Source organism: Homo sapiens, chromosome 4 (genome assembly GCF_000001405.40).
Source record: "Homo sapiens chromosome 4, GRCh38.p14 Primary Assembly".
Taxonomy (NCBI): Eukaryota; Metazoa; Chordata; class Mammalia; order Primates; family Hominidae; genus Homo; species Homo sapiens.
The window spans coordinates 53984513-53992422 of NC_000004.12; the positions used below are offsets into that span (position 1 = coordinate 53984513).

Genomic DNA, 7910 nt, shown 5'->3' on the forward strand with positions numbered 1-7910 from the left:
TTAGTTAGACGGGCTCCCCCATTTCACACCAAGCTCTGACAATAGCCTCAAGGTCCTATACAACCTGATCTGCAGTTACTTCACTTCTGCCTCTCCAACCACTCTGTCTTCTTTGATCTTTGCTGTCAAACATGCCTGACATACTCCTGTCCTCTGGCCTTTGTAATGGCTCTTCCCTTTGCCTTGAATCTGCTGCCTCTAGATATCCACATGGCTTACTCCCTCACCAGCTTCACATCTTTGCTCATGTTATCTTCTCAATGGAGGCTACCCTGTCTCCCCTATACAAAATTGTAACCCACTACCAGCCTCCCATATCCCCCAACCCTGTCTTTGGAACCCTTACCCTGCACTGCTATTTTCTTAGCACACAGAACTTCTAACATATTAATATATTTTCTTATGGTTATGGTGTTTTATTTGCTTCCCATCCCCCTCCCCTCACTAGACTGTACATGCCACAAAGGATCTGTATTCTGTTCACTGACATATCCCAAACACCTGGAACAATGCCTGACACATAGTAGGCATTCAGTCCATGCAGAATGAATGTCATAGTTTAAATTTCACAAAAATCTAATGTGTTAGGTTTTATATTATCTTTATTTTATATATGAAGAAACAGACTAAGTTTTAAAAATAGGCCCATGGTCAAGTTACAAGAAAGGGAGACAGCCAGGAGCCCAGTCTTCCTGATTCCACAGTCTACTTGCTAAATGGCCAGGCCATGTGGCCTCCCTACAGTGCGCTTGCCTCAAGGTTTGGAATAAACATGTTGAACTGCATCTACCGTCAATAAACCATCATCAAATGCCACAGAAGTTTATTGTGTCCTCTTGGGGTACATGACAGCTTGGTAGTTTTGATCTAACATCAAATTCTACTCAATTTACTTCCTGACTCCAGAAGATAACAGGTCCAAAAGCTCATCTATTCTAGGCCAAAGAGGTTGGTTTCATTCATGTATCTTTTTTTTTTTTTTTTTTTTGAGACAGAGTCTCACTCTGTTGCCCAGGCTGTGTGCAGTGGCACGACCTCAGCTCACTGCAACCTCTGCCTCAGTCTCCTGAGTAGCTGGGATTACAGCAGTGCACCATCATGCCTGGCTAATTTTTGTATTTTTAGTAGAGACGGATTTTCACTATGTTGGCCAGGCTTGTCTCAAACTCTTGACCTCAAGTGATCCACCCCTGCCTCAGCCTCCTAAAGTGCTGGCCAGGCTGGTCTAGAACTCCTGACCTCAAGTGATCCGCCTTGAGGTCACTTGGCCTCCCAAAGTGCTGGGATTACAGGGGTGAGCCACTGCGCCTGGCCATTTATCCACTGATTCATTCATTTATTGAGCACCGACATGCTGAGGGTATCCTGTAGATGGTTGATTTGGATGCAGTCAGTAAACCAAATTTCTCTTCTTGAAACTACCATGAAGGAAAAAATGCCCACATCATTTTTGGAACTAAATCCACAGATGAAAAATCATCTTTTCTCTAACTGCATCAGAACTAATGCTACTCCCTCCAGCTCAGGAAGAGCCTCCTATCCCAGCCCCTGTGCTAGGGCCTCCATTCCAGTGGAAGTAAATGTGAGCTACATGACTGATAGTTTACTACTTCTGAATAGCTTTGTACTGGAATTTGGAAGGAATGTGTATAGTGCTCAATATGAAGCTCAGTTTGGCTTCAGGGACCATTTTAATTAAATTAATTATCTCTAAAAGAAACACTTAGAGTTGTTTAAGCCTAAACAATAGGTACTTGTTCTCATTTCTAATAGGAGTCACATTGTTCAGAGAGTTCTCTTGGTGAGCTGAGGACAATGTTACCACCAGCTATTTAAGGAAGACCTTCCCCTTCTTGCCCCATGCCTTCCCTCTCACACACAGGAGAGAGGCTTTCAGAGAAGTGGGATGGAGGGCCTGGCACATTAATGTACCAAATCTACAAATGCACTCCACTGCTTTCTTTTTTGTTGTTTTTTGATTTTTTTGTTTTGTTTTGTTTTACAGCCAGAGGTCTTTTATTTTATTTTATTTTATTTTATTTTATTTTATTTTATTTTATTTTATTAACACCTATGATGCCATGAATTCACAGGGAATAGGTTCCAGCAGCTCAGGCTCCTTCCCACAAGCTTTCACAAAGTGCGCTTCTCTGGGTGGAGCAGGCTGGTGCTTCACTTGAACCCAGGTACCTTCCTCTTTGGCTTCTTTCTTTTTCTGATCATTTTCCTTCACACATTTCAGGAAGCTATCTCGGCTCTTACAGTGCTTAATGTGCTCAATATGCACATTAATTCTCTTGGCAAGAATCTTACCCTTGTTTACAACAATGCCAACAGCATGCTGGGGAACACTGTAGACTTTCAGTTTTGCCATGGTAACACTTGTGGGGCATTCCTTTTTGAACAGTATCCATTCCGTTGATGTGTACCATATCACCTTTCTTATAGATTCGCATATTTGTAACCAAAGGAACAAGTCCATGTTTTCTAAAAGGCCTAGAGAATGTATACCGGTGCCTCTCCTCTTCCCCCTTTGTGTTCATCATTGTGGCAAATTACTGGAAGGTGGCAGTTTTGGCCGAAAGGAAGGACTGCTTCCTTAACTTTCCTAACTCATATGTGTCTTGTGTTTGTTTCTGTTGTGGATTCTTAGTCACATGGCCTTGTTCTGTATGGTCTGCATTTTCAGGAAAAGCATCCCAGCCTAAGTGGCCCTTGTACCCGTGAAGAAATAGGCAGTGTCACTTTTACTTTGTGTTCTCCTTTCCTCCACCATTTCCTCCTAGTGTGTCCTTGTTTTCAGAAACACTAGACTGATTTTTAAAAATAATATTGTATACTCCGCCTCATTGCAAGAAGACTCAATCTGGCTTCTTCGCTCCATTCTTTTTTTTTTTTTTTTTTTTTGAGACAGAGTTCACTTTCTCGCCCAGGCTGGAGTGAAGTGGCGCAATCTTGGCTCACTGCGACCTCCGCCCCACAAGTTCAAGTGATTCTCCTGCCTCAACCTCCCGGGTAGCTGTGATTATAGGTGCCCACCACCACGCCTGGCTAATTTTTGTATTCTTAATAGAGACGGAGTTTCTCCATGTTGGCCAGGCTGGTCTCGAACTCCTGACCTCAGGTGATCCACCTGCCTCAGCCTCCCAAAGTGCTGGGATTACAGGTATGAGCCACTGCCCCTGGCCTCTTCCTTCCATTCTATCTGTTCTTTTTATTATTGCAGTACAAAGAAGTAAAATGATATCTCCCTCTCATCTTCTGCTCCTCACAGTCAGCCATGCCCCCACAACCTTGTCATCACTAGGAAAAGGAGTGTAGGAGGGCTCTCTTCACCCCCGACATTCACTTTTCAGAGCTGTGTGTTATTTTTAAGGATGCATCATGGCTTTGTGGGAAAGCCTTAGTGTGTGTGTGTGTATGTGTGTGTGTGTATGTATGTGTGTGTGTGTGTGTGTGTGTGTAATTCCAGTCAAAGGTAAGAGTGTTTAAAGCTTTTCTGTGTTGTGCTAAGCCCTTCTCCCTGAGTCTTCTCTCTTAGATACAGTGTGATTCATCTAACTCCAGTGACTAATGGCCATGCCAAGTACAGGGTGTTGGTCTCTGTTCTTTGGTCTCTCTCTCAGTGACTGAAGAGTGGACAAGGCACACAAAAGAGAGCTCTAAAGGCAGTCAATCAATACTGCAGACTGACTGACAATGGCAGTATTAAGTGCCATAGTGGTTGGGTTTACTGGAATGAGTGCAAAATAAGGACCAGAGCTGGCCAAATTAGCTTTACATAATAACACTAGGCAATTGGTATTGGAAGAGATGGCTAAAGCCCAGGCCACAGGATAAGCAGGTCCCTTCCAGCTTTGACTATAGTTTTGGTGTTTGTTTTTTTGTTTTGTTTTGTTTTTGTTTTTTTGTGAGACAGGGTCTCTATCTCCCAGGCTGGAGTGCAGTGGTATGATCCTGGCTCACTGCAGCCTTGACTTCCTGGGCTCAAGCAATCCTCCCACTCAGCATCCCAAATAGCTGGGACTACAAGCAGGCCACCACGGCTGGCTAATTTTTGTATTTTCTGTAGAGACAGGGTTTTGTCATGTTTTCCAGGCTGGTCTCGAACTCCTGAGCTCAAGTGATTTGCCTGCCTCAGCCTCCCAAAGTGCTGAGATTACAGGTGTGAGCCACCGTGCTCAGCCTTCACCTTTAACTATCTGTAGTTATTTAGCAAGTAGGACTTGGTCTGCAGCACAGCGGTAATTCCACTACTCTTTAACTAAAGTAAGAAGTAACAATGACACTCAGAATTATTTTTAATTTACTTTTGGTATATTCTAATTCATTAATGAGCAAACAACTGAAAAAAGAAGAAAAACATGTTAATCTTCCATCGTTATTGGAAAAAAACAGCTTTGTTGTAACTAAAATTTCATGTATTATTAATTTGAGACAAGGTCTCACTTTGTCACTGAGGCTGGAGTGCATGGAGTGCAGTGGTGTGATCATGGCTCACTGCAGCCTCAAACTCTTGGGTTCAAGCAATCCTCCCGCTTCAGCCTCTAAAATAACTAGAACTACAGGTATGCACCGCCATGCCAGGCTAATTTTTTAAATTATTTTTTGTAGAGACAGGGTCTTCCTATGTTGCCCAGGCTGGTCTCAAACTCCTGGCCTCAAATGATCCTCCCACGTCAGCCTTCCAACATGCTGGAATTATACTCAGCCTCATGACTAATTGTTAATGTCTGTTTTTTTTCTTTCTTTCTCTAGAATGACCCAACCCATTTGACAAAAACATTGTTTTGAATGCATAGTCAAATTCCAAATCATATCAACATCGTTTACAGATAACAATCAAGTGGGTAGGCCAAATCCAAATAACCAATTTTTAAAGTTTTTCTAGTATGCCTTGGTACCATGTATTTTGTATCTTAACAATATTGACCTCTACAGGTACGGAAGCAGAGACCTAGTAAAAATTAATGGCAAAAGTCAGTGTGTTAACAGATTAGATTGCGGCAACCCTTAATCATGAACTGCTAAACTTTAGACCATGAGCTACCTGTTTCCTAAGATCATTTTAGTGTACAGAAGAATTTCCATATTTGAAAACAAATTTTGAAAATGGGGGAAAAAGTGAGGTAAACGAGGGTATTAATCATACTCTGCTTTCCATGTTCTAATGCTTAGTAAATTTACTTGGCACACACACATTCTTACATTAGGAAATACATTTAAGTGAGTCTAAGTTTCATCGTTTCACTCACTGAAAAAAAAAAATCTACTTTATACAATTTGGAGAAAGGAAAAGATTATTCTGTAGTTGGAAAGGCAAGTATTATACTCTTAGGCTACCCTCTTAACTCTGCTTTGGACAAACACAATAAAGGATAAAAATGTTTATGCTGCTTTTCTTCCCTGTGTTTTCCCCATAGGACAGTCTGTATGTGGTCTAAAATCATGACCTATCAGAGACTTACATATTTTTAAAGTAGACTGGAGCCTCAGTGTCATCTCTCTTCATCATGATACTGTATTATTACCTTTTATCAGCCACATCAGGGAAGTATACTTGTTCATTTAAATCAAGGGTCAAACCAAATACTCACATGTGTGGGAGGAGTTCTTTTCATAACATGACAATGTCTCTATCTTTTGTTTTGGCCTGTATTGATGATTTAATGATGAACTTCCTCCCTGATGTTTATTCAAAGACATTGTTATCCTTCTTTTCATTCTAAGGGATTTGGGGGCTATTATTTTTTAGCAGTGGCTGGTATAGGTGAAAGCAGTGACAAAGCTTCTCAAAGCAAGGAATAAGGCAGTGAAGCCACGGACACATAGAGCCATGGGAGAAACAAGGCCATGGGAGAAACATGACTTTCCTCAGGTTAAAGTCGTGGGGTTAAAACCCTTTTATATTAAAACAAGTATGATTATAAAATGTACTTATTGAACAAACATTTATGGTGCATTTATCATGTGTCAGGCAATATTCTTGATTCTGGAAATATACTGGTGAAAGTTAAGGTGGCCAGACACGGCACCCAATTTCATGGAGCTGGTATTCTAACAGAGAATGACAAAAATATGAATAAGAAATTCAGATAGTGAAAAGTGTAATGAAGAAAATATACAATGTCACAGTGACAGCGCAGAAGAGCTCATTCAGACTGGCAGGTTGGGAAAAGTTTCACTGAAGAAGGGACATTTGAGCTGAGACCTGAAATCCTAAGAGGAGGGGGTCATTCTAGGCAGAGACAACAATGAATAAACAACCCCACGGGAAAACTAACTTTGCCTTTCTGAGTAACCGAAAAAGACAATGCAGTCAGACTGGAGTGGGTGGAACACTGATGATAAGAAATGATGTCAAAAGGCAGGCAATGGCCAGACTGTGTAGAACACTGGAAGAACAGCTAAAGAGGCAATTGCAATTCAGGTAAGAACTGATAGAAGATAATGGAAACTTAGAAAAAAGGAAAAGCGATGGATATGAAGGAAAAATTAATGTACTGCAGGTGTATTTTTGAAGTAGATTATGAGATTATGGGAAATGGAGGAGAAATGACAGCTCCTGGGTTTTTGTCTGAGTGAAATATATGAGTGAGAGGAGAAGGACCATATAGTGAGATGAGGAAGAATGAAAAAAAGAACCAATTTCACAGGGAGAAAGTCAAGAGTACTGTTTTAGCCATTTTAAGTATGAAACACCTTTTTATTATTCAAGTAGCGAATGGTCAAGTGGGCGTTTAGGTATCTAAAGTTATAGCTCAGTGGAAAGGTCAGAACTGGCAATATAAATCTGTACATAAGATGGTATCTAAACCATGCAATTAGATGAGATCAGTAGAAAAACAGAAAAGTCTTGGGCCTGAGCCTGGAGCACACCAACACTTAAGGCTTAAGAGGAAGACCTACAGCCAATGGATAGAGCAAGAAGCAAGAAACTGGGAGAGCATGCTGTTAAAGAAGCCAAGAAAAGACAGATAGTGCATGAAGAGGACTTAATAAATGCGGCAGGAGTTAAGAGAGAGATGACTGATTTGGCAAAGTGGAGGTGTTTGTAATCTTGACAAGAGCAGTTTCAGGGAATGGTGGGATCCAAAACCTAGTTTTAGGGTCCATAGAGGTAAGCTGGAAATGTGAGGAAATTTTTGAGCAGGTTTCTGTGAAGGTGTGAGAGAAGTGGCAAAAGAAGATGTGAGGTCAAGGGAAGGTGTCGTTTTGTTTACAAATGGGAGGCAGAAGAAAATGTTTGTATGCTGATGGAATGGTCCAGTAGTCAGAGGCTGGTGTTGGAAAAAGTTGAAGAGGGAAGTTATGACACAGTAATTTTGGAGAGTAAGAGAACAAACATGTTTGTGAAGCACAGTAAGATCTTTGGGTAGTACCTATTTGAAATTTGTGGTAATGGATTTAAAATGAAATTAGTCAGCATTGGCTTCAGATTTTTCTCCAGCCCCATTCAGCTGTTAGGTGTAAGCGCAGAGTAAAGAGATGGAGCAGTGCTTAAAACAAGTTGGGACTCGCAGGTAGGAGACTATGACAGAGAGTAGACGAAGTTGATACGATTACAGAAAAGCAATTGCTAATGATAGGCTATGATAAATTCCCAAGATATGTGTTTATTAAATGTTTGATGAATGACACAGACCTGGAATCAGACTTTACCCATTCCTAGAAGGGTAAGTCGCTGAACTTAAGTCAATAATTCCTTTACAGAATTTCTGAGAGGACTTAATTATAATTTTTGTATAGTGCCTAAAATAGGACCTGGCATTGAACAGTCACTCAATACATGTTAGTTTTCAACTCCACTTTCCAAGTACAATTTCTCTTCCTCGTTCAGTTACTCAACAATCATTTCTTCAAAACAGTCTGTGCCAGGCACATACTGGGCGCTAAGATATAATAGCAAG

The 7910-nt window shown here is 41.0% G+C and overlaps 1 pseudogene across 1 annotated transcript; it reads right to left on the minus strand.

Annotated features, from left to right (window-relative positions):
- Window positions 1–973: 973 nt before the first annotated feature.
- Window positions 974–2770, minus strand: RPL21P44 (ribosomal protein L21 pseudogene 44; annotated as a pseudogene). Its single transcript, NR_027153.1, has one exon. The product of NR_027153.1 is annotated as a ribosomal protein L21 pseudogene 44 (transcript).
- Between the last annotated feature and the right edge of the window lie 5140 nt (window positions 2771–7910).